Source organism: Homo sapiens, chromosome 2 (assembly GCF_000001405.40).
Source record: "Homo sapiens chromosome 2, GRCh38.p14 Primary Assembly".
Taxonomy (NCBI): Eukaryota; Metazoa; Chordata; class Mammalia; order Primates; family Hominidae; genus Homo; species Homo sapiens.
The window spans coordinates 182,468,905-182,496,353 of record NC_000002.12 but is presented as its reverse complement, the minus strand read 5'-3'; the positions used below and the strand labels follow the sequence as shown (position 1 = coordinate 182,496,353).

At 35.6% G+C, this 27,449-nt stretch overlaps 1 protein-coding gene across 17 annotated transcripts in view; it reads left to right on the top strand.

Annotated features, from left to right (window-relative positions):
- The window catches only part of PDE1A (phosphodiesterase 1A), a 576,757-nt gene that overhangs the window by 220,444 nt on the left and 328,864 nt on the right, over window positions 1–27,449 (top strand). The gene's annotated exons all lie outside the window — the stretch shown is intronic.

Below are 27,449 nucleotides of genomic sequence, written 5' to 3'. Positions count from 1 at the left end.
AAATGGAATGATTATCTAAAATACAATAACAATGTGATCAACATGTTTTCCTTTTAAGGCTTTTTTTCCTAGCAGTCTTTGGTAGTATTTAAATGCTGGACAATATTTTGTAGCCTAGTACAATATTTTGTAGCCTAGTTTAATATTATCTCTTAAGTAATATCTCTGCAGTGAGTGTATGAACCTGTATTACATGTTTAATATTAAACTAGGTTACTTAAGAGATAAAAAAATAAAAGACAGTCTTTCCTCTAATAGGGTAGATAAAACAAATTCCTATTAATTGGGGGTACATTATAAAATTTGGAAGATATGTGTTTTTCTTTATGGTTGAGAGGACTTATATCTGTTGTATGTCAGCAACTTTGTATTTGTTATCCCACTAAATCTCCATACAAGCCTTGTAAAGTAATATTGCCTTTGCCATTTTGAAGAACAGTGCATTGACACTCCAGATTAGATAACTTCATGAAATTATACTGACATTGGACTATAGAGTGGGATTTAAATATTTTTGCTCTTTCTTTTATATCAGTCTGTCTCTCGAGGAGATTTCAGATGAATCTTAATGAAGGGTAGGATTTGGATGGAGAGAGGGATAGGACAGGCGTCTCAAACTCAAATTCTATCAGGGGCCATACTTGAAGGAGCGGGGGTGGCTGCTGACTGTAGCAGCTCAGAGACTACTTGTTGCCTCTTGGGGCAGGAGGCTAAGGGGCCTTTACTTTCTCTTTTAGAGGAAAGTTAAAGGTCCATATTTTAAAATATATAATCCTTTGATTTAAAAATGTTAGCAAACAAATCACAGCGTTAAAAATCACTGATTGGGTCAACACTATGAAGACTAAATAAAACCCATGTGTTACAGCATGTTAAAATGGGATTGGTTCCATTTTAGCCCTGGCTGAAGCACTGAAGGCCAAGAAAATTTCAAAAGGTGCCAACCAAAGCCAGATTCTACATGCTGGACCACCCATAGAGGATAGCTAAGTGAGTGCAAAATGGGTTCTCTAGCATTAGAGACAGGCCTCCTCTGGTCTGTATCGAATGAGATACTGAAAGGGAGGATTTCAGGATTTATTTGAAGTGAGCTCTGTCAGTATGCAGGTACCCTTACCACCCCAAGGAAAAGGCTAAAGCCAAGAGACTGTGACTGGAGCTGCCTTTGTCAGCAAGGAGAAAGAAGATCCAATGGGCTTGTACTAATGTCAGGGGCACGTGTCCCTCTGCCGGCCACGTGCACCTTAGAAAGAAGTCAGCCTGGACCAATTCAAGAGATCCTGCCTAAGATGACTGCCTGGAAGTGCCGAGCACCCCCGACAGAGTGGACCACTGAAGCTAGGGATGAGAAAGGGAGTCCTTAATGGTCAGGTAGAGGATAGCCTTAGAAACTGCAGTGAGAAGACCACAGAGGAAAGAGCTAAAAAAATCCAAGAATTCTGTTGGGAGAAGGGAATCTCACAAGAGACAAATTCAGCATCTAGAAGGAACCAACACAAGGAACCAATTGCATCTGCTATATAAAAGTGTGCTGTTTCTCCTAATTCCTTTCCCCTGGAGCCTAGTAAGTTGGAGAGTTGGAGAGGAAGAAGATTCCAAGTGGAAGCAGGCCTGGGCTTGGGAGGGAGGGTAAGGCTTTTCAGATTCTTCGCTTTGAAAAAAAAAATGGAATTCTGATTATTACATTGGTCGTTGGGCATTTTGACTTCTGAGATGAGAACCATCTTGTGACTAAAAGGAGCCAGAATGTCTGTGGGAGGTGGATTCATCCAGGGGTGGAGACAAAGAAATCCAGAGAGTGTGAAGGGACAATGGGAAGAAAACCATAAAAGACACAATGCTGACATCAGTATGTTTCTTAAACAGTTACTCATGTCTGCAAGCCAAAACTGTGGGCTCGCCATTTGTATTATCTGGGCTAAGGGATGGTGGTTGGGCAGAGGGGCTGAGCATTGGGTGTGGAGAGTATGATCAATTATATTAAGTAACAGAAGGTATAAATCTTTCTGTGTAGTCCATAGTCTACACAGTTTCTTTTTCTTTTCTTTTTTTTTTGTAGAATCCAAATGATCTTGTAAGCTTACTACACATTTAGATGAGAGAACAAAATTGACAGTTCTAAGGCTTTTGGATATGTAGATGATAAAAGGTTACCTTTGCTCAAGAGACATCCCAGTAAAGACCATTCAACCTTCTTCAAATTATAATAAATGACTCAGTTGAAGACTCAGTTAATGATTTTGAATGCTCCTTTAAAGCCTACCTCGATTGTTTTGAATGTACATTTCTGAAGGACTTAACAAAGCCACCAAATTAAGGAACATTATCATTCTCTGTTTATATAATTGTTCACATGCCATGATCTGGAATTTCTTCAAACAGTGGTAAAGCATGCATTGCAAAATACAGTCCATGCCTGGGCTCAGTGGTTCACACATGTAATCCCAGCACTTTGGGAGGTTGAGGCAGGAGGATCACTTGAGGCCAGGAGTTCAAGACCAGCCTAACATGTGGTGTTTGGTTTCCTGTCCTTGCAACAGTTTGCTGAGAATGATGGTTTCCAGCTCCATCCATGTTCCTACAAAGGACATGAACTCATCCTTTTTTATGGCTGCATAGTATTCGGTCGTGTATATGTGCCACATTTTCTTAATCCAATCTATAATTGACAGACATTTGGGATGGTTCCAAATCTTTGCTATTGTGAATAATGCCGCAATAAACATACTTGTGCATGTGTCTTTATAGCAGCATGATTTATAATCCTTTGGGTATATACCCAGTAATGGGATTGCTGGGTCAAATGGTATTTCTAGTTCTAACACTGCATGTTCTCACTCATAGGTGGGAATTGAACAATGAGAACACTTGGATACAGGAAGGGGAACATCACACACCGGGGCCTGTCACGGGGTGAGGAGGCGGGGAGGGATAGCATTAGGAGCTATGCCTAATGTAAATGACGAGTTAATGGGTGCAGCACACCAACACGGCACATGGATACATATGTAACAAGCCTGCACGTTGTGCACATGTACCCTAGAACTTAAAGTATATATATATAAAAAAAGACCAGCCTAACCAGTATAGTAAGACACTGTCTCTCCAAAAAAAAAAAAAAGTTAGTCGAGAAAGTCCTCTTGCCGATTAAAATTTATGCAGTTAAGGGGTGATTTAAAAACTAGGTATAGCAAGGCATGCTTTGACTAATTGTTAAAGTTTTTGTTTTGTAAGTTTCTGGTAGTGTTTTGTTGTTTGGGGTCTTACAGCTGTTGTAATGATTAGGATGATGTAAGCACAGAGTAGATGTTTTATGCAATAAAAGAAGTGTGGTTGAAAAGCCTGCTGGTCCCTGCCCTTTTTTTTTTTGCCACCATAATTGTACATGTGGGCATTACACTGACACTGATTCTAAGCCTGGAAACTGTGTAGTTCCCCACACGTTTTAGTATGTGCATAGCAAAGGAAGTGCCAATGACTTTTTAGTATGTGGATATCTCTTGTCACAGAATCTTTCTGAGAATCAGACTTTATAAAAACATGTTTCACTGCATCAAAAAAATTTAGTTAGCCTTGTTTTAAAAATATAACAATAAACAAAAGTTTATTGTTCACAAAAGCTCATGACAGAAAAGTTGATTCTTCTCTAAAGCTCATGACAGAAAAGTTGATTCTTCTCTAAGTGAAACTAATTCACAAGGTGAATATTTTACTCTTCATCCAGAGTTGTTTTAAGGTCAGATAGGCAAAAGTGATAATTTATAATATGATCTATAACCGTAAATAATTTTCATCAATAGGTTGGAGCTAAGCTCAGAATTTCAGAAAGTTTGATAGAATCTTGCTATTACTAAAAATTTTATGTGATGTTTAGATTTGAAAGCCAAAAGTATAAAGAGATCCATTTATCATCCATCAGTTCACTCATTCACAAACTCACTCACCTGTTCAAAATAAAATGTACTGAGCTTCTATCATATTTAGAGCTTGATGCTTGCTTTTTTAGATGGATAAAAATATAGTTGTAAACCTTAAGAAGTCGAGCACTTAAAAGCTAGTATGAGAGTTAGACTTTGACACAAATAATCACATAAATAATTAGATATTGGTATAAATAATTATAGTGTAGTCCAATTTAGTATGAAATAGGTAGAGGAGAGGAAGCCTGAAGTTTTGTGGTCAAGACTGGAAATTATCCCACTGGACAAAAAAATTCACAAATCTAAAGGGATTTGGTCATGGGGCAACTGTATTGATATTGGCAAGGCAAAGCAAGATGATAGGAAATGATCAGACTAGCCTCTAAAAGCAATGATCAAGCAGTGGGGCATCAGGTCATGGCAATAATAATAAAGGTCATGAGTGCATGGAGTTTAATGGGCCGAACATATGCCAACTCTTAAGCAAGGAATCTTAATGTTACTGTTAGACATCTGAATGCACAATGTAGAATGAGATAAAAAGCCTGAGTGGTCCTCTGCAAGTGCATAGAGAAATAAGAAACAACTGGTAGGAAAAGTGGCATTTACCTGGTATCTTGAAGGATTTTATTAAGTAGCAATAAGGAGAATGATAGTCAAGGAAAAAGTATGAGAATATGCAAGGTAGTAGGAAAATGTAAAGTGTTTGGGAAAAATAACATTCTATCTCATAAAACCACAGCAGACAAGATCAGGTGTATTGAGAGTGGTATGGCTGTAGATCGTTTAGGGCTATTATAAACACTAGGAAACAGCTTTCCCATATTTCGTCTTTCTTCTTAGGACAAATGTCCAGAAGTAAGTATGCTGGGTCAAATCTAAATTTCAAGTGACCAACTTTTCCATCACTGCCTCCTATTTTCCAGCGTAGTCCTTGTAGCACCTCAACTACAGTAGTTTTTCTTCCCTACTGGGACCTCCAATTCTTTGTACCTTCACACTGCCTCTCTCATTCCTTTCTGCTCCTCCCATGTGCCCATGTCCCCCCAAGAAGCTTAAATGCCACAGTCCATTATTATATCCCTCACTTGCATACTCACTAAACTCCCTTGTCCCTCTCATGTATAGACTTCCCGAAAAATCTTATTCCTGGTTAAATTCCACTCTGATCATTTCATGCTTGCATTCATGTAGCTGATTGCGGTTGGAGAAAAACACACTATTATACTGACTGCTGTTACCCTAAACGTATGACCACAAACTGCAAGTGCACCCTATTTGTTGTCCACCAATCTCTGCACTTCCTATTAGGTTGGTGCCAACATAGTTGCTGTTTTAAAAGTAATTAAAATCATTAAAAGTAATGGCGAAAACTGCAATTACGTTCCCATCAACCTAAATATAACCATGAATGATTATTTTAAGCCTTTTCCTGCCTCCTCAAACCTCAGATGCTTCCTTCCCCCCTGCTTCCTACTTTGTTGAGCAAGTGAATTACTAAAAAGAGCCCTTCCCTACTATGTCTACAGCCCCACATATCTCTTCCTACACTTTGCATTATTTTCTGCTATAGTCAATGAACTGTCAGTGCGCCTGTCTAAGACCATCCCCTACTTGTATACTAAAGTATATTGTCATTCAAGGACATCACTCTTAAAATTGTGCCTGCTTTAGCTTGCATTATTTTCCCTCTCTAGTGTATAATTCTGATCAGCCTATAAGTGTACCATAATATTTTCAGGTTAAAAAAATAAAAATCTTGGCTGGGCGTGGTGGCTCACGCCTGTAATCCCAGCACTTTGGGAGGCCCAGGTGGGTGGATCATGAGTTCAGGAGATCGAGACCATCCTGGCTAACACAGTGAAACTCCGTCTTCACTAAAAATACAAAAACAAAATTAGCTGGGCGTGGTGGTGGGCGCTTGCAATCTCAGCTATTCGGGAGGCTGAGGCAGGAGAATGGCGTGAACCCAGGAGGCAGTTTGCAGTGAGCCGAGGTCCAGCCATTGCACTCCAGCCTGGGCGAAAGAGCGAGACTCCGTCTCAAAAAGTAAATAAATAAATAAATAAAAATTAAAATCTTTTAACCTATGTCATCCTCCTGTAAGTCAAAGTTCTCCTTTACAGTAAAACTCCTTAAAGGTTGACTACTCATGGTTTTCACTTGCTCTGCTTCCATCTGATGTTGAATCCACTCTAATAATTTTTTTATATCTCCCTTTCTACACTGAAACTGCTGTTGTTAAAAGTCATTGATGGCCTCCATATTGCCAAGTCAAATGTTCGCTTCTCCATCTTTATCTCTCTTGGCCCATTAGCAACATTTAGCTTAAAGTTTCTTTTTGGAACACTTTCTTTACTGCTTCCAGAATAACACTTTATTGGTTCTCCATCTATTTCATTGGCTACTCCTTCTCAGTTTTCTTTGATGATTTCTCCTTATTTTTACACATTGGAATTTTGGAATGTCCCAGTGCTGAATTCTCAGATTAATTGTCTTTATCTGTGCTACTGCCCCGTGTGATAACATCCAGCATCATGGTGCTATATTCCATCAATCTATCATGCTCTACCGATTAGTGCCACATTTATATCTGCAGCCTGGACCTCTCCAGACTTAACTACAGTTTATCCAACACCTCTTGTTGCTCAGACTGAACATTTCCAAAACCAAATTCAATTTTCCCCTTTTGTCCTTCTGGAAAACTGTCTCTTCCTGTAGATTTCCTCCTCTAGGTCAATGACAACTCCATTCTGTCATTTTCTTGTACCAGAAGCTTCTAAAAGCTTGAGAGACTTTCACTCACAGCCACATCCAATTCATCAGGAAATCTTGTGGAATCTACCTTCAAAATATATCTAGAATCCAATCACTTCTTACCACATCCAGTGCAACCTCCCTGGTCCGAGCTGCTGTCATCTCTCACATCTGGAATACTCCCACCTGCCATGGCCTGCTACGGTCTCCCTAATCCACTCTTCCACCTCTGCTCTTTTTCACGCAGTGTCAGTGATCCTTTTACAGAGGAAGCTAGATCATGTCACTTCTCTGTTTGAGAGCTTTCATTGGCCCTTTATCTCAGAGTAAAATCAAACATCCTTATTCTTTGTAATTCGGCCCTTCTCTTCCATCTTTTTAACTTCATGTCCTTTTCTTTTCTCACACACTGGCTCCATCCACACTGGCTTTCTTGCTTCTCCTTCTAAACTTGAGGCATGCTCAGGCCCTAGGGCTTGTGAATCTGCCCTTTGCTCTTCCTGGTACACTCTTGTCTGAGATACATTCATAGTGCACCCTCTCACCTCCTTTAGGGCTCAACTCAAATGTCGTCTCTCAGAAAAGCTCTCTTTGACCACTTTTTATAAAATAGCTCCCCCAATATCAGTCTGTACATTTTTATTCTATCTTAGTTTTATTTATAAACTTTTCACCTTCTGACATACTATTTATTTGCTTAATTGCCCATGCCCATTAGAAAGCAAACTTCATAAAAGCAGGCACTTTTACTTTGCTTTTGAACATGCTCTCTTTCCAGGGCCTGAATCATTCCTGCAACACCTGGTTGACATCCACTGTTTTTCGTTGACTGGACAAATAGCATCTATACATTCAAATTGTTGAGTCATATTATCAGACTGTGTTTTACATAATTTCTGTAAGGGCAAGTTTCATCACACACTTATAGGCATTGGATATTAGTTTTAATTTTTGATAATTTGGTGGGCAAATTACAATAGAATATTTTTGATTCCTTATATATTCTTCCTTCATCTTCACATTTCATGTATTTACAATTTTCAAAAACTGTTAATTTTGCAGAAGGCTTCAGTAGATAGACAGGTATTTATCATTGTTTTAGTAATAGTATAGTGTTAACATGTGAATCAACACTACAGTACAATATCTAAATGGAAATAAGGCATAACAAAACACTTTGAAATATCTAATTTGCCAAATAAAGTGGATATCTGAACTTTTATTATATGATTTGCTTTTTCATATATTGCCTCCTAGATATCATTATCTAGCTTATTTGTAATCACTTATTTGCTTTTATCTTGAGTCAGTGTATTCAGAAGGTCGCAGTTGTGAAGAATCCACTGTAGCCCTTGGTAAATTAAATTTTGACATAGGGAAAAAGAGAAACATTTTCAAGTGCTATAGTCATTTTAATTGAACCAAACTGGTTAATCACATTTTAATATTGACAGATTACAAATTGTGAATTGTACCCTAGTTATAACTTTCTGATTTATTAAAACATATCAGTGTGATGGAACTGGTTTTGAGAACTTTTCAGAAAAAAATGTTAGTAAAAACTGTGAAACTACACACATTATGTAAATCCAAAATTATGAGTGTTCTATTCAACTTATACTTTTTTGTTCAATATTGTAAACCACTCTGATAAGATTTACTTATTATAAAAGAAAACTATAAACAGTGGTATATTCAGATCTTGACACATGCATTGAATAATTATTTGATATTTTTTCTGACATTAATGAACCCCTTTTGAACATATTATGCATGAGTCTTTCTGCTACAGGATATCTTTCATTACAAACTTTCTTAGGAAGTCAGCTCCAAGTAAAAGTTTTTGGTTTAATAATGACAGTTTTAAACAGATTTGTTAAGGCATAATTTACATATCATAAAATTTATCCTTTTAAATATATGATTCAGTGATTTTCAAAAAATTTTTAGAGTTATGCAATCCTTAAAAGTTCCCTTGTGTCAATGTGCAGTCATGGCCCACTCCTACCCATCCCCACACCCCAACCACAGGTAAATGATCTATCAGGCAATATGCAGTTCTCAGTGTTTTTGTAGTGGATATCAGAACTTCATTCCTTTGAAATTCCTTTTTATATCTGAATAGTTTTCAATTTTATAGATGTCATATTTTGATTATTAAATAACCAGTGGATTGACAGGTTTTGTTTATTACAAATAATGCTGCTGTGAACATCAGTTGACAAGATTGTATAAATATATGTTTTTAACTCCTTTGAGTAGATTCCTAAGAATGGAATTGTTAGATCCAAAAGTAAGTGTTGGTTTAATCCATTCGTAAGCTGCTAATCTTCCAGAGCGGCCATACAACTTTATAGTCTCCCCAGCAGTGTATGAGAGTTCCACCTTCTTCACTTTCTCGCTGGCACCTGGTACGGCAGTTTTAAAAAATGAGAATCCTTCTAGCAGGTGTGGAATTGTATCTCATTGTAGTTTTAAATTACATTTCTCTAATGACCGATGATGGTGAACATCTTTTCATGTGCTTATTTGTCCTTTGTATAGCCTCTTTGATAGAATATCTATTCAATTCTTTTGCCAATTTTTAAGATGAATTAAATCCATATTTTGAGTTTTAAGAGTCCTTTATCAATTCTGGTCACAAGTGCTTTGTCCAATAGATGATTTACAAATATTTTTTCTCAGTTTATTACTTGTCCTTCATTTTCTTAATGGCATCTTTTGAAGAATAAAGGTTTTTAATTTTAATGAAGTCAAATTTATCATTTTCCCTTATGGATTATGCTTTTAGTGTCTTAATCTTTGCCTAATCTAAGGTCACAAAAATTCTCTCCTGTTTTCTACTAGAAGTCTTTGTAATATTAGCTCTTACATCTAGGTCTATAATCCTATTTGAGTTAATCTTTGTGTATGGTTTGAGGTAAGGGCCGAAAGTCATATTTTTGCATATGGATATCTAATTGACCTGGAAACATTTGTTGAAAAGATCATCCATTTCCCAATGGTAGCTTTGTTAAAAATGAATTGATCAAAAATCTAAGGATTTATTTCTGGTCTTTCAATTCTGTTCTGTTTGTCTATATGTCAATTTATGCTAGTACCAACTGTCTTGATTACTGTAGCTTTATAGTAAGTTTGTAACTTCAAAGTGTAAATCCTCCAACTTTGTTCTTTTAAAAAATTGTTCTGGCTATTCTAGATCCTTTATAATTCCCTCTCAAGTTTAGAAGCATATTTCCAACTTCTACAAAAAAAGCCTGGTGGGGTTTTGATAGAAATATTATTGTTTCTGTAGATCAATTCTTGGGAATTTTCTTGTTAACCAATATTAAGTCTTCATCATAAACATATAATGTCCATCTACTTTTATATTCTTTAATTTCTCTCAGTAATATTTTATTATTGTCAGTGTACAAATTTTACACTTCTTTTATTAACCCATTGCTAAGAATTTTACACTTTTTGATGATTTTTGAATAGAATTTCTTATTTTCATTTTTGAATTTTTAGTTGCTATTATATAGAAATACATTTGAATTTTTTTTATATTGATCATGAATTGTGCAAACTTGCTATATTCATTTAATAGTATCTAGTCTGTCTTCCTTTTATAGATTCTTTAGGTTTTTCTACCTAAAGAATCTGTAGTCTGTGAATAGAGTTTTACTTCTTCCTTTCTAATTTGTATGCCTGTAATTGCTCTGATTTGTCTAAGTGTAGTGGGTAGACCTTCCAGTTTGATAATAAATAGTAGTGAAGCAGGCAGATGCCCTTGCCTTAGTTCTGTCTTAAGTGGGGGTTGTTCAATGCTTCTCTTAGATGCCCTTGTTGATGAAGTTTCTTTCTATGCTTTGTTTGTTGAATTTTTTAAAATCATGAATATGTATTAGATTTTGTCAAATAGTTTTTCTGCATCTATTAGGACAATGATATGCTTTTCTGTCCTTTATTCTATTAATGTGATGTATTGTATTAATTAATTTTTATATTTTAAACTTGTCTCGCATTCCTGGGATAAATCTCACTTGGATGTGTTGTATCATTCTTTTATATGTTGTTAGATTTGGTTTGCTACCGTTTTGTTTTCTGCATCTTTCACAAAAAGTGGTATATTTTACTGCTTTAATTTATATTTGATACTATAGCTTTTTAAAAAAACTTTTATTTTAGGTTTGGGGGTACGTGTGAAAGTTACATAGGTAAACTTGTGTCACGGGGGTTTGTTGTACAGATTATTTCATCACCCAGGTATTAAGCCCAGTACGCAATAGGTATCTTTTCTGCTCCTCCCTCTCCTCCCACCCATTGCCCTCAGGTAGACCCCAGTGTCTGTTGTTTCCTTCTTTGTGTTCATGAGTTCTTATCTTTTAGCTCCCACTTGTAAGTGAGAACACGTGATATTTGGTTTTCTGTTCCTGTGTTAGTTTGCCAAGGCTAATGGTCTCCAGCTGCATCCGTGTTCCTGCAAAAGACATGATCTCATTCTTTTTATGGCTGCATAGTATGCCATGGTGTATATGTACCACATTTTCTTTATCCAATCTGTTACTGATAGGCATTTAGGTTAATTCCATATCTTTGCTATTATGAATAGTGCTACAGTGAACATTTGCTTGCCAGTGTCTTTATAGTAGAATGATTTATATTCCTCTGGGTTTATACCTAGTAATGGAATTGCTGGGTTGAATGGTAAGCCTGCTTTTAGTTCTTGGAGGGATCGCCACACTGTCTTTCACATTGGTTGAACTAATTTACATTCCCACAAACAGTGTATAAACGTTCTCTTTTCTCCACAACCTCGCCAGCATCTGTTATTTTTTGATGTTTTAATAGTATCCATTCTGACTGGTGTGAGATGGTGTCTCATTGCGGTTTTTATTTGCATTCTGTAATAATCAGTGATTTTGAGCTTTTTTTTTCACATGCTTGTTGGCTGCATGTATGTCTTCTTTTGAAAAGTATTTGTTCATGTCTTTTGCCCACTTTTTAATGGGGTTGTTTGTTTTTCTCCTGCAAATTAGTTTAAGTTCCTTATAGAAGCTGGATGTTAGTCCTTTGTCAGATGCATAGTTTGCAAATATTTTCTTCCATTTTCTAGGTTGTCTGTTTACTCTGTCAATAGTTCCTTTGGCTGTGAAGAAGCTTTTCAATTTAATTAGATCCCACTTGTCAATTTTTGTTTTGTTGCGATTGCTTTTGGTATCTTTATCATGAAGTCTTCGCCTGTTCCTGTATCCAGGATGGTATTGCCTAGATTATCTTCCAGAGTTTTTATAGTTTTGGGTTTTACATTTATGTCTGTAATCCATCTTGAGTTGATTTTTATATAATGTTTGTTACTATTTTAGTAATGATTTTTTGGTATATGTTTATGAAAAGTATTGTTCTATAGTTTTCTTTTCTTGTGGTATCTTTGGGTTTGAATTTATGCAAAGAGTTGGGAAGTGTTCCTCCACCTCTAGTTGATGAAAAAGGTTGTGTAGGATTAGTATTATTTCCTTTCAAAAACATTTATAGAGTTCACTAGGGAAGACACCTGGGCCTGAATTTTCCTCTGTGGGAAGAATTTAATTGCTAATTCAATTATTTACTTATTGTTCTATTCAGATTTTTGTTTATGAGTCTTTTGTAGTGATTTAGATCTTTTAATGAATTTGTCCATTTCATCTAAGTTGTCCAATTTTTTGGCATAGAGTTGTTCAAAATATTCTCTTATAGTTCTTTTAATTTCTGAAGAATTCATAGTGATGTCTACTCTTTCATTCTTGAGTGTAACAATTGTGTCTTTTCTTGGTTAACATAGCTACAGGTAAAATAGTTTTGTTGATCTTTTCAATAAGCTAACTTTTGGTTTCATTGATTTTCTCTATTGTTTTATGTTATCTATGTAATTGATTTCTGGATCTTTAGTTTTTCCTTCCTTTTGCTTGCTTAGGCTTTTCTTTCCTAGGCTCTTAAAGTAGAAGTTTGGATTATTTATTTGAAAAATTTTTTTAGTATTTACATTGACAGCTATATTTTCTTTAAAACACTGCTTTAGGTATATCTCATACATTGATGAGTTGTGTTTTTATTAAGTTCAAAATGTATTCTAATTTCCATTATAACTCCATTTATCTGTGAATTATTTAGAGTATGTTGTTTGTTTTTTATGTATTTGTGGAGTCCCTAAATTTCTTTATGTTGTCAGTTTCTAATTGATTATTGTTGTGGTTGTGGACAATACCTGAATGATTTCAATAATTTTAAATTTATTGAGATGTATTCTTTGGTTTAGCATATATTGTGTGTGCATTTGAAAATAATGTGTATTTCGCTTTGTTGGGTGGAGTGCTCTCTGAATGTCAGGTCTAGTTGATTGTGTTGTTCAAGTCTTCTATACCCCTTTATTTTTTCTGTCTAGTTTTTCTATCAAATATTGAGAATACAGTATTAAAATATACAACTATAATTGTTTAATTGCCTATTTTGCCTTTAAATTCTGTCAGTTTTAGCTTTGGGTATTTTCTGTCTCTGTGTGTAAGTATACAGCTATGATTGCTATATTGTCCTGATGTATTGGCCCTCTGACCATTATGAATGATCCTCTTTGTCTGTAGTTACATTTATTGTTTCAAAGTATTTTTGTATGATATTAATACAGCCACATCAGCTCCCTGATGGTTATACAGTATAGCTTTTTCCATCCTTTTATTTTCACCTGTTTATGTCTGTATCTAAAGTGTATCTCTTATAGACAGCATTTGGTTGGATCTGGTCTTTGCGTGCAGTCTGATAATCTGCCTTTTGATTGTAGTGTTTAAGTCTAGTTACAGCTAATTGACATGGTTGGAATCTGTCATGTTGCTGTTTGCTTTCTCTAACTCACATGCTTTCTGAACTCCATACTCTGTTCCAAATCAAGTCAGCTACCTCCAGCAATGAAGCTGCTGGTTTCAAGACCAGTGCCACTATTGTAAAATATCCATGTTGACCCAGTAGGGCAGTGGATGGGGATAATAGCTTCAGGCTGGAATTCCGCAGACTCCTACTGTTAACTGACATTCCATAGTTTCTGGTGAATACATGCTTCTCAATTTGCTGTTTGCCCGTGGTTGATTTCTAGATCCTGGAATTATTGTCCTGACAATGTGATCCAGTTGTATAGCTATTTTCATTTTTTTTTTGTGGAGACTGTTTGTGATCCTTTTACTCCTTCATGGTCAGAAGTCTCTAACATTTTGAATTTGGTAAAATATTTTGATGAAATGTGGGCTTTCTTTTTTTGACAAATGAAAAATGATAACTGAAAAACTCCATAATCATATTTTTTCTTATACTTTAACTAGACTTTAAAAATTAAGTTAAAGGTTTTTGGAACTATAAATTTTTCTCAATACTGATAGATTGTTTGTCTTATAGCAGTTTAAAAACTAGGTGATAACCTAAAAGTTATATAAATCTTATAAAGTCTCAGGTTTTTTAAATCTCTACTTTTTACTTCCTACATTTATTAATAGAGTGATTTTATTTTATTATTGCGCTTAATCAATTTTGTCAGACTCTAAATTTACCATGGAATTAAAAATATACAGACTGTTAATAAGAAAATAGTGACAATGTGTAAATTTCACTTTCTTGTGAATAGGTAGTGAAGGGAAGGAAAAGACAGAGACTATATGTTAGAATCAGGGGATCTCAGAATGTAAAGGTATCGTATATCTCCAGTTCTGTAGCTGAGATAATTACATTGGTCACTCAGCTGCCAAGGGATTGAGCTGATTCAAACCCAAGTTCACCTGATTCTAAAGTCAATGCTCTTATCCAACTAGTAGATGCCTCTTATCAGATTAGTATGGGACTTTCTCATTCTGATTTACTGTAACTTAATAGAGCACTGGGGCCATGTGCCATCTGCTCTGCAGGGACAAAATCTAAAAGAAAAGAGACGAGATTGGACTATAAGGCAATGTTGGTGCTTTTCTGTACCTTCCCCCACATATTCATTTTTCTTGCATTCCAGGACACCCTCAGTCACTAGCTATTTCCACAATCTGGGATTTTTGTACTGTGCTTTAAATCAGGTCCTTCCTCCACAAGAACAGAAACTTCCAACCTATAAATTCCTTCATGTTTCTCTATGATGATCAAATCAGTCATTACCATTTTGAGTTAATGGAAATTCTTTCCTTTTTCTGTAGTTAGAATGAAATATTTTCAGCATTTGGGAGATTTTTTCACTTCAGACTTCATAGTCAAATGTTAGAGCTATTCAAAAAAATGGATTAGACTTCATCAGTATGCTAGTGAGCTCTATATGAATGGAGGTATTCAAGCACAGGTTCCATGACAGGGAGGTTCACTTGTTGAAGACTATGATAAATGCTATTGTATTTTAACAATAATGGATATGTAAGTGGTTTCTTGAGGCCTAAACATAAAACTGCTTTTTTACAATTGTCCCTAGTTATGTTATTACACTCTTCCTTTTCACACAAAGTAGTGCCCCCCTTTAAAAAAACCAGTCTTGTTTCAAAACTTTTCGATTGCTTTTGTTTATTAGTTTGATTCTTTTTGTTTCTTTAAAACTTCATCCAGTTTATTTTAAAGTATGACCCTTATATCCGGTGTAAAACTCTTCACATCCCTCTGCAAACTCGAAGTGCAAGAATGGAAGGAGCAGTCTTCTCTATTTTTGTCCCACCTTCCTTCCCAGCACCAGATCCTTGGAACCTGGAGAGAGGACAGAGGAGGTAAAGGTTTCTGCAAGTGGCTACAAAGTACCCGTTTTGACTCCAGCAGGGAGGGAAGAGAGGAAATATCCCTTCCATGAATGCAGCCTCCCTAAAGCATAGCCTCCTTCTTCTTCCTATCAATCATCTTTTTAGTAGGTGGGAGTGTGTTTGTGTATGTACATGCACATGTGTGGCAGTACAGTCATCCCTCATTATCGTGGGGGATTGGTTTCAGAACCTCAGAAGATGCTCAAGTCCGTTATATAAAGTGTCATAGTATTTGCATATAACCTACACCCATTCTCCTGTATACTTTAAATCATCTCTAGTTACTTATAATATCCAATACAATGCCTACACATCACTTCATTTGCATGGATTAAGTGTAGTACTCCACAGGTGGAAAATTAAAATTTTATTATTTGGAACCCTGTGGAAATTTTTCCCAAATATTTTCCATCCACAGTTGGTTGAATCCACAGAGGTGGAACCCAGAGATACAGTAGGCCGACTGTATTTCTGGTTCTGTTAACTGACCATTTTTCAGAAAGCCTTTCAAGGAGGTGGCTATCTCTAACAGGCTGGGCTCTCTGAACTTTAAATATGTTCTTTATATATGATGCGATTGCTTCCAACTGTAGGTTTTAATCACCATGTACAGTTTCTGGCACTTAATACCGTTGTGTTTTAGGAGTTAAATAAAATGAGTGTTATTTGACCATATATGAGTTAGTAGCATATTTTTGTAATTGGGAGAGAATATGATATTGGATTCTCTTTGGTAGAAAATTGTTGTTTTTGTCATAAAGAAACTCTTCTTTGCTTTAGCAGTCATACCTGAAAACACTGTTGATCAAGATGGTAAAGCTTTTTTGTCCATTTGTTTGTTTTTGTGATTACTGTTCTTCACCATAATGGTGCTGAATGTTTAATAGAAAAAGTCCCTTGTATTTGAGAGAGGAAAGTAATTGGTACTATGATATTTTAGGAAGTTTTGTTCTCCATATGAAACAGATATGATAGAATAATTTTCAACAGCTTATCATTGACAACAGGACAGAATTCATACTTAGTCCTTTCTTCCTATGTACATAAAGAATCAAATGACTTCTGCAGGTAAAGTCTTTTACCAGGACCTTTGATAATAAAATAAGTAAAAGCAAGAAATTGTAATGCAAGATATGTATTTATATAGTACAATAATTACTATTTCTATTATGTATGATTTATACTTTATTATGTGCTCAACAAATACTAGAGGCAGAATATGATAAAGACTGAAATGCTATATATATTTATCTTTTAATTTTTTTTTTACAGTCTTTAGTGTTGTCACAATCTGCACATTAACGCATTTTTATCCTTTAGGACTAGATCAAAATCAGTCATGTGTCCTAAGTCTGGCTGTCTTCCTTCCTGCCTGTCTTCCTTCCTCCCTTCCTTCTTGCCTGCCTGCCTTTCTTCCCTATTTTTCCTTTTTATGAAGAAGAGGGTAAAATTATATCTGTGAGTTTGAAATCAATGATTCTGTTAATTAGGGGTTAAATTAGAGCTTTCACATTTCAACATAACTTGTAATGCCCAAATTTATCCAAGAATTGTTATGATTGCCAACGTGGTAAGCTGTCAACATAACTATCTTTTGGGTGAACTTTTGAGTGGGAGTAAATGTAATGACAGGCATATTGCTTTTATGCATCCTTAAGATGCCTACAATTGCTGATTTTTATAGAAGTAAAGTTCACTTTTCCTGATTTGAGTTTGTCTAAGAAAATCCTAACACTTTCTATATAGACTGCTCTATAAACATGATCTAAAAGGATTATCCATTTGTAGGATTAATATTCACATATATTTGCATTTGAGATATGTAAGGCTTTTATCCTTTTTCCTCACTTCTAACTAAACAGGATTAATAAGGGAATATCATCAATCATATCTATTGTGTTTTGAAGCAAGATGGTATATAAAAATAATACAACAGGACAGGAGTCATTTTTCAGACATTGTGCCATTATAATTTTAGTTTTGAGAAGAGAATGTTGTTATAGTCAAGTCACCCAAGGCCAGATTAAGGGGTCTAGTAACCTTTTTAAAGTCATAAGCTAGATTTATAACCCCTTCATTTCTTGCATGATGAGAGATGTGAAGTGTTCACTCTATTAGCCTCCAAATATGGGATCTGGGGCATGAAAAGTTATATAGAAAAATGTCAACTTTTACACACTAAGAAAAGAGTTTGTGCTAGCCAAGAAATTGCACAAAATTTTGGAGGCAGCAGGACAAATGTATTGGCAGTGATATCCAGACATGATCAGTCCAGGTACTATGTTTGACTTTTGTGTTGTGATTTTTCCAATTAAAACCTGGTCTGAACTAAAAGGTATTTGCAGGGATAAATGACATGAGGAAATACAGTAGGTATGAAGGTGCCCCTGAAATAAGAGTGGTATATATGTGGCTTGCATATGTAGTTTCCCCATTCTCAGCCCAGGTAAGATACTGTTCATCTATTAAAGCACCTTGTCCTACTGAGGCTGGACATTGTCCTCAATGCAGTGCTCCAGGAATTCACTGCCAATCCAAGAGAATGATAGAGCACTATTTTTTTTTTTCTGCATAGCAGGAATAACCAGCTCAGTATTTGACTCAGAAATACCTAATGGATGTTTTATCATAAATGTATTGAACAAGATGGTTGAAAATTTATAAAATTCCATTGGTGTTTTGGGGATTATAGCAAGTATCGAGACACAAAGAAATACATCTTTAGAGTTACCTGTTTATTTTCAAAATTCTACTTAAAAGAAACACTCATCAAAGAAACAAAAAAAGTTTAGCAATGGATCGTTTTCACGTTGGTGTATACTGGTTTGAGCTGCTTCTTTTTGAGATGAGTTTCATCTCTGCCTGCAGTTACTCTTTCAGCTCTACTCCATGTTGACATGCAGCTGTCCTTTGTCACGGCAAGAATGTGAGTCAGGCTCCATGGCTCCTGCAATAAAATCCCACCTTTTCTTCCTACACACCTGGAATCTAGAGAATGAAGATCCCCCAGTCCTCCACAAAAGAGACGTGCATCACTTGAATGATGTTTTTGTGATTGGGTTGTGAGCTATATCATACAGCTTCTGTCAAAAGCATGAAAGGGCTCTGGGCTTTCAAACTTTGAGTGAGTTCGTGTGTCGTTTACCGTAACTATGCAATCTTATGCATCTTTGGATTCAGTTTTCTTATTCGCAAAATGGAGATCACTGTGATAATGCTCTCTATGTCTAGGATTTGTTTTGTGGCATGAAATTAAATATGTGAAAATTTGTGTGCAGTTTCAAACAAATGCCAGTTAACCTTCAACCCTACACGCTGTGTTTTCTAGAACATGGCACTTACCATATGTGGAGGCAGGACAGCAGAGAAGTTGACAACATTGTCTTTGAAGCCAAGCACACCAGATTCACATCTCAATTTCACCATTCACTACGTGACTCAAGGAACTTTCCTTGACCTTTCTGAGCCTCAATTTCTTCATTTGCCTTGATTGAAATGGACTGTTATAATTAAATTGTCAAGTGTTTAAAGCAGCTGTCATAGTCACTTGTTCCCAGTAAATAGTCAATTAATGGCAGCTATTATAATCAATAAATACTAGTTGACTTAATGAAAGTTATAATCCAAGACATGCTAACCAGACTACATTTTTCTCTTTTACCCTCAACATGAGTCAGATAATTGGAAGGCTACATATATGAATTATTTTGCATTACCCCGCAGTACACTTACTGCTATAGGTTCTCAATATAGGATATATTGGCTTCTTATTGATGTTCTTTTGAAGTGATGGAAATCCATGAATGCCTTTGACTTACGAATTATTATGCTGTTCCTTTTGTTTTTTGATGTCATAGCCCATATGACAAACTCTTAACAGAATTTAAATATTAGAATAAACATCTTTCTTTTGATTTATTGTTGTATCTTCTTTCATGAGGCAAAATGTGTCATGTATAATGCATAACATTTCCCTGTTTACTTTGGCTGCCAGGAAGCTCAGAGTTTTTTTTTTTTTTTATGAAAACCTTAGCCATGTAAAAAATTGAAACCTTCTTATATAATTGTTGCTTCCTAGTCACTTTTATTATTGGTCTTTTATTCTTTCATTTTTATGTTACTATATTCCAGTTCTGTATCTTCATTTTCAGGGTAAACTTGCCCAAGCTCCTTTTCAAATAAATGGATCACTGAAAATTAGAAAACTAGAAAAATAGTGTTATTTAATTCTGATAAGCTTTGATTCTACTTTTGCTATCCTGCAACATTCCACATTAATTTTATTAAATCAGAATTAATTTTGACACTCAGTAAATGTCCTAATCAGCAAAGCAGTGTACTGTCTATTAATCAAAATAATGTGTGCATTATGAAATAACATGCTAAGATGGGTAACACTACTTTTATTTAATTAATTTATTTATTTGAGACAGAGTCTCGCTTTGTTGCCCAGGTTTGAGTGCAGTGGGGATCTCAGCTCACTGAAACCTGTGCCTCCTGGGTTCAAGTGATTCTCCTGCCTCAGTCTCCCAAGTAGCTAGGATTACAGGCATGTACCACCACACCTGGCTAATTTTTGTATTTTTGGTAGAGACGGGGTTTTGTCATATTGAATAGGCTGGTGTTGAATTCCTGACCTCAAGTGATCCACCCATCTTGGCCTCCCAAAGTGCTGGGATTACAGGTGTGAACCACCCCATCCAGCCTTAATTTTAAAAATATAATTAATTCTAATTAATAGTTAACCAACCTGTGGATACAGAACATACATATTTATTGTTGTGATATTTCACCTTTAAATGAAAATTGGTCACAATATAAAAATAACCCTTTTAAAATTAATATAGTATTTCTTTTTGTGCTCATGTATAAAATTTAGCTTTTAATATGTTCTTTTGGAGAAAAAATTTAAACATTTGTTCTTTTCTCATATAGCCTTAAGTGCACCTAGTTTTAATTTTTTATCAACATCCTACCTCCTCAAAACTTTTTCTGTGTTATCTTAAAAACAATGTTAAAAACTATGTTATCTCAGAAACCAGTGAACAGAAATTCATTGTATAACATTTTGGTAAACAAGCAGTTAAGGATTTTGAAAGGGCTCCATTTCCATTCTACTACTTTTTGCTGAGTATATGGCCTAAGGAAACTGATAAAACAGTTTTAATGAGTGAAATAAAATGAAGTTGTATATTAACTTCATTAAAGGCAAGAGAGTTGACAAAAAAATCTGGTATGTTTGAGAAGTGTTTTGTGGTCCTTAATGTTGGAAGAAAGAATGAATAGCCCGTGCTTGTTTCCTAAGAGATAATTTCAGTCACAAAAACTATAACCCTAGCTCTCCCAGAATATATTGGTAATAACAAACTATTAAAGTAATAATGAGAATGGTAAAGCATATAGTCTGGCTGTGGATTCCAGCCCTTTGGAGCTGCTTGGAATATAAATCACTTCTCAGTTTGCAAATTTATTCCCCTCAGTGAGATACTGTATATAAAACACAATGTCTGATTTGAAGAGTTTGGGCAGAGGAATGGGGAGACCCTCAATTTCTTCACTTTTCTTAACCTGTCTTGCCTCCATTAGTGGGGCTATCAACACTGTATCACCTGATGGCCTTAGTCTGCACCTGTTGCTGCTGTCCCAGATGGCACTCATCTTGGTCTTTTTTCCTGAGGTCTCATCTTGACAGTGCTGATGTGGAAGACATCCCATTCCTGAAGTCCATTGTTGCCATGCTTGTTGAAGTAGTGGAAGGCTCTAACTTCTTACTTGGCTCCTGAAAGTGTCTAAGCTTTTACTTTACTTTTTCAAGAAGGTATAGACAAGTCCTTGAGATGAGAGAAAAAGCTATCTAAAGAGAAACACAGAGAGCTACCTCTAAAAGTGCTGTGACAAGGGATACCCCAGAATGATGTCAAGCCACACTGACTCTTTTCTCTCAGACATGATCCATTTCCCATTTAGAGAGAGACTGTGGCAGTGTTTATCTTCTCTTTTGTGAGGAGTTTTAATTTCTGTATGTCTTAGCCCAGTTTTCTACATAAATTCTATTTTTCTGTTGGAATTCTATGTTGTCTTTGTGTAAGTAGAGCTTTACAGCATCAGCTTGGGCAGTTGAGTGTTCTTGGTCATCGTCTTCTCCTTAATCTTTTTGGAAAGAGTAAGCCAGGGAGTTTTATTAGGGTTTATGTATATATAATTGTCCTCATATTCTATCTTTTTTCTGTATTATTGAGGAAAAGCAGTAACCTGATAGAACTTGTATATATCATCAAGAGGACTGACCTAATAAGCACCTACTATGTGCTTTATAATAATCTCGTTTAATTCTCACAAATCCTTAAAAATTAGGAATGTGCATTTTATATGTTAAAAAATACCAGGGTTCAGAGGAGTTAAGTGGCTTGATCAAGATCACATGCTAATTATGAATGGAGTCCATGTTCAATTTTGGTGCATTTTGTTGGACCCCAAAGTGCATCCTCTACTTCTAGGGCAGCTTTTGGCCTCCTTGAGTAAATGACTTCTCCACTGCTGAATAGCCTACTTTGCTGCTGCACATGACGCCTGAGGCATTCCTGTTGGGTCCTTTCATTTGATAAACATGTTTACAAATACTTTTTTTCTCACTCTGAAAGAGCCTTTCTTAGCTGAAGCGAAAGAGTAAAACTTTCATCATAGTAAAATACCTAGACCCAAGTAAATATTTACTCTTCATGGTTACCCATCACTTTACACAAAGTAGGTTCATAATATATACACACCAAAAAATGTTTATATTGAATTTAAAGAACGCTTATATACTGTTGGTGGGATTGTAAATTAATTCAACCATTGTGGAAGACAGCGTGGTGATACCTCAAAGACTTAAAGGCAGAAATACGATTTGACACAGCAACCCCATTACTGGGTATATACCCAAAGGAATATAAATCATTCTACTATAGAGATACATGCACATGTATGTTCACTGTAGCACTTTTCGCAATAGCAAAGACATAGAATCAACCTAAATGCCCATCGTGATAGACAGGATAAAGAAAAGGTGGCACATATATACCATGGAATATTATACACCCATGAAAAAGAATGAGATCATGTTCTTTGAAGGAACGTGGATGGAGCTGAAGGCCATTATCTTAGCAAACTAATGCAGGAACAGAAAACCAAATACCTGATGTTCTCACTTATATGTGGGGCTAAATTATGAGAACACATGGACACATAGAGGGAATTAACACACACTGGGGCCTATCAGAGGGTGGAAGGTAGGAGGAGGGTGAGGATCAGGAAAAATAACTAATGATACTAGGCTTAATACCTGGGTGATGAAATGATGTACACAACAAACTGCCATGACACACGTTTACCTATGTAACAAACCTGCACATGTACCCCTGAACTTAAAAGTATAAAAAAAGAAAAAAAGTGCCTGTTCATGTCCTTCACCCACTTTTTGATGGGGTTGTTTGTTTTTTTCTTGTAAATGTGTTTGAGTTCATTGTAGATTCTGGATATTAGCCCTTTGTCAGATGAGTGGGTTGCGAAAATTTTCTCCCATTTTGTAGGTTGCCTGTTCACTCTGATGGTAGTTTCTTTTGCTGTGCAGAAGCTCTTTAGTTGAATTAGATCCCATTTGTCAATTTTGGCTTTTGTTGCCGTTGCTTTTGGTGTTTTAGACATGAAGTCCTTGCCCATGCCTGTGTCCTGAATGGTAATGCCTAGGTTTTCTTCTAGGGTTTTTATGGTTTTAGGTCTAAGGTTTAAGTCTTTAATCCATCTTGTGGGGTTGAGGGGGGAGGGATAGCATTAGGAGATATACCTAATGCTAAATGCTAAATAATGCTAAATGGGTGCAGCACACCAGCATGGCACATGTATACATATGTAACTAACTTGCACATTGTGCACATGTACCCTAAAACTTAAAGTATAATAACAATAAAATAAAAAATTTAAAAAAAAAAAATTAATAAAATTTTTAAAAAGCTTATGTATGAGTCTGGATACTAAAGGTAGGATTTAATGTTAAAGAAGTTCTTCTCCGGCTCTAAATGTATTTATTTAAAAAAAGTTTTGTTTTTCTTTTTGCCTAAAGAAAATCTTTACTGTGAGAAATGACAAATCAGATTTTGTTTAGAAGGTCTGTGAATTTAATAGCAGTTGAGCTAGAGTTGATTATGTGGAAATGAGCTTTTTTATTTGTATATATTCATGGGTACAAGTGCAATTTTGCTACATTGATGTACTACACTGTCATGAAGTCAGAGTCTTCAGTGCATCCATAACTAGAGTAATGCACTTTGTACCCACCAAGCAACCTCCCATCATTCACCCCTCCTCATCCCTCATACCCTTTCAAGTCTTCATTGTCCACCATTCCACACACTGCTTCAATGTGTACACATAATTTAGCTCCCACTTATGAGGAGAACGTTTAGTATTTGTCTTTGTGTTTGAGTTGTTTCACTTAGGATAATGGTCTCCAGTTCCATCCGTGTTGCTGCAAAAGACATGATTTTATTCTTTTTTTGTGGCTGAATAGTATTTCATTGTGTATATATACCACATTTTCTTTATCCAGTTATCCATTGATGGCCACTTAGGTTGATTTCATATTTTGCTTTTGTGAATAGTTCTGTGATAAATAGACAAGTACAGATATCTTTTTGATATAATGATTTTTCTTTTCCTTTGGGTAGATACCAAGTAGTGAGACTGCTGAATCATATGGTCATTCCTTCTTTAGTTCTTTGAGAAATCTCCATACTGTTTTCCATAAAGGTGGTACTAATTTACATTCTCACCAACAGTGTTTTAAGTTCCTTTCTTTCCACATCCTCTCCAACATGTTACTTTTTGTCTTTTTAATATTAGTCATTCTCGTTAGTGTAAGATGGTATCTAATTGTGATATTAATTTGCATTCATCTGATTATTAGTGATGTTGAACATTTTTTCATATGCTTGTTGGACATTTGTCTTCTTTAAAAATATAGTCTATTCATTGCCCTAGCCCAGTTTTAAATGGGATTATTTGGGAATTTTTTGTTGTTGAGTTGTTTGAGTTCCTTATACATTCTGTCCCCTTTTGGAAATATTTTCTCTTTCTAAATGGATTTTAAAATAAAAAAGTTTAGAGGAAGAGTGTCTTATGAAACTCTTTTAGCCACCGTATTGCTGAACCATTGACTTTCTTGTTGACATTCACTGAAGAGTTGGAACACTATTCCTATTCAAGAAACTTTTCTACAAAAAAATTCTTAAAAAAGAAGGAAATGGTAACGTAAAAATTCTCTTTCCAAAGTACAGTGTAATAAAGTGGTGTGTAGTACATAGCATCTTAATAGGTAAAAGGAATTGGGTTGGTATATCTTGGAGAAGAAACACTTAGAAAACTTTTACCTTACCTTCTATCCTACACTCAAAAACTAGTTTCATTTTAGTCAAAATTTGAGAAGTCATAATTCAAGAGACTTCTGTATTTTGCTTTATTATAATTGGGCTTCTTGTGAGAACATCAATAATTATACTGTGTATAAAAGGTTCTTCAGAACATCTAATGATTGTGGGACTAGGTGAGGTCAATTCTGTGGTAGGCATAGGGAAAGCTTCTTATTCATATTTTTCATCTGCCTGACATATAATACCTTTGTGATATATTATCCATTTTATTAAATAAACAGTTATTGAAATGTATCTCTTCTTTATAACTTCTAAGTGTTCTAAAGCCACATGACTATGGATTATAGCTGATGGCTTTAGATAATATTTTTGCTCTAGATATAAATGTATTGGTCTGTAGAGCAAGTTGACTTTCATGTTACCACTTAAAAAATTTAGTTCACTAAATTTTGAAGATTGTCATTTGCCTACTCTCGGTTTTTTAGATAAGTGTATATAATTTTAACTATTTGAAATGTTATTCCACCTACATGCAGTAGTTAAGCACAAAAATCACTTAGAACACAGACAAGGTAATTCATGAAAAACAAATTGCTATATCAAAATAGTCATAGTATCTCTATAAAAATGTGAAGTCAAATGTCATCTCCCACTGGATTGAGCCTAATGCTCCTTGTGCAAAACCTTTCTTCTAAGTGTTCTGTAACACAGTTGAGATTCTCTTCACTCCATGACTGTGTTCGTATATAGTACCTATTTGCTGTCCCATGAACAGTGCATACTGTCTCTTGCATCTACCCTCATTTCACAGGATGACTTCTTCCCATTCTTAAGATCTCAATGTACAGAAACCCACTTTCAGAATAAATCCTGGATTGCAAGACAGTAGTGGAGGCCCCTCCACTTTGAATATATAGCTTCCTGTATGTATTTACTGACTTCACAGTGTTATCATATCTTTATTGAAATTTCCTATTTCTCTCTCTTACTAAACTATAAGTTCCTAGAGAGGAAGAACTGTCTTCTTGTTTACTGTTAAATAGCTATTTCTATAATAGCTTTTGCTAGAGAATAGCTGCTCAATTAATATTTGGAGAATTGAATTATACCGAACATTTAGAATGCTAGAAAGCATTGAGATTAACACCATTGAGTTTGATGTTAGCTGTAGTTTTTCATAGCTGCACTTAATCAGGTTAAGGATATTCCTGCTAAGCTCTAGATTTCTCAGCTTTTATTATGAAATGTTGGTCTATTTTGTCAAATTCTTTCACTAAATTTACTGAAATGATTCTATAAACACCTCATTTCATTACACTTGGCTTTACTGCACTTCACAGATATTGTGCTTTTTATAAATTAAAAGTTAGTGGGAACCCTCTGTTGACCAAGTCTACCAGTGCCATTTTTCTAACAGCGTGTTTTCACTTAATATCTTTCTCACATTCTGATAATTCTTGCACTATTTCAAACTTTTCCATTATTATTATATTTATTGTGGTGATCTGTGATCAATGATCTTTGTTGTTACTATTGCAATTGTTGTGGGGCACCAACCACATGTAAATAAGACAGAGAACTTAAATGTTACATGTGTTCTGATTGCTCCTACTGGCCAGCTATTCCCTCTCTCTCTCTTCCTCTCCTTAGCCTCCCTGTTCCCTGAAACAATATTGAAATTAGACCAATTAGTAACCTTTCAATGACCTCTATGGCCTCTAAGGCCTCTAAATGTTCAAGTGAAAGAAAGAGTTGCATGTTTCTCACTTTAAATCAAAAGCTAGAAATGATGAAGTTTAGTGAAGAAGGCACAGTGAAAGCCGAGATAGGCTGAAAGCTTGGCCTCTTGCACCAAAGAGTAAGCCAAGTTGTAAACACAAAGGAAAAGTATTGATGAAAATTAAAAGTGCTATCCTAGTGAACATATGAATTATAAGGAAGCCAAACAGACTTATTGCTGATATGGAGAAAGTTTTAGTGGTCTGGATAGTTGATCAAACCAGCCACAACTTTCCCTTTAGCCAAAGCCTAATTCGGAGCAAGGCCCTAATCCTCTTCAATTCTATGAAGGCTGAGAGAGGTGAGGAAGCTGGAGAAGAAAAGTCTGAAGCTAGCAGAGGCTGGTTCATGAGGTTTAAGGAAAGAAGCTGTCTTCCTAACATAAAAGTGCAAGATGAAGCAGCAAATGCTGATGGAGAAGCTGCAGCAAGTTTTCCAGAAGATCTGGCTAAGATTATTGATGAAGGTAGCTACACTAAACAACAGATTTTCAGTGTAGATGACACAGATTTCTATTGGAAGAAGATGCCATCTAGGACTTTCATAGCTAGAGAAGAAAAGTCAATGCCTGACTTCAAAGCTTCAAAAGCCTGGGTAACTCCCCTGTCAGGAGCTGATGAAGGTGGTGACTTTAAGTTAGAGCCAGTGCTCATTTACCATTCTGAAAATCCCAGAGCACTGAAGAATTTTGCTACATCTACTCTGCCTCTATTCTAGAAATGCAACAATGAAGCTGGATAACAGTACATCTGTTTACAGCAAGGTTTACTGAAAATTTTCAGCCCACTGTTAAGACCTACTGCTCAGAGAAAAGGATTCATTTC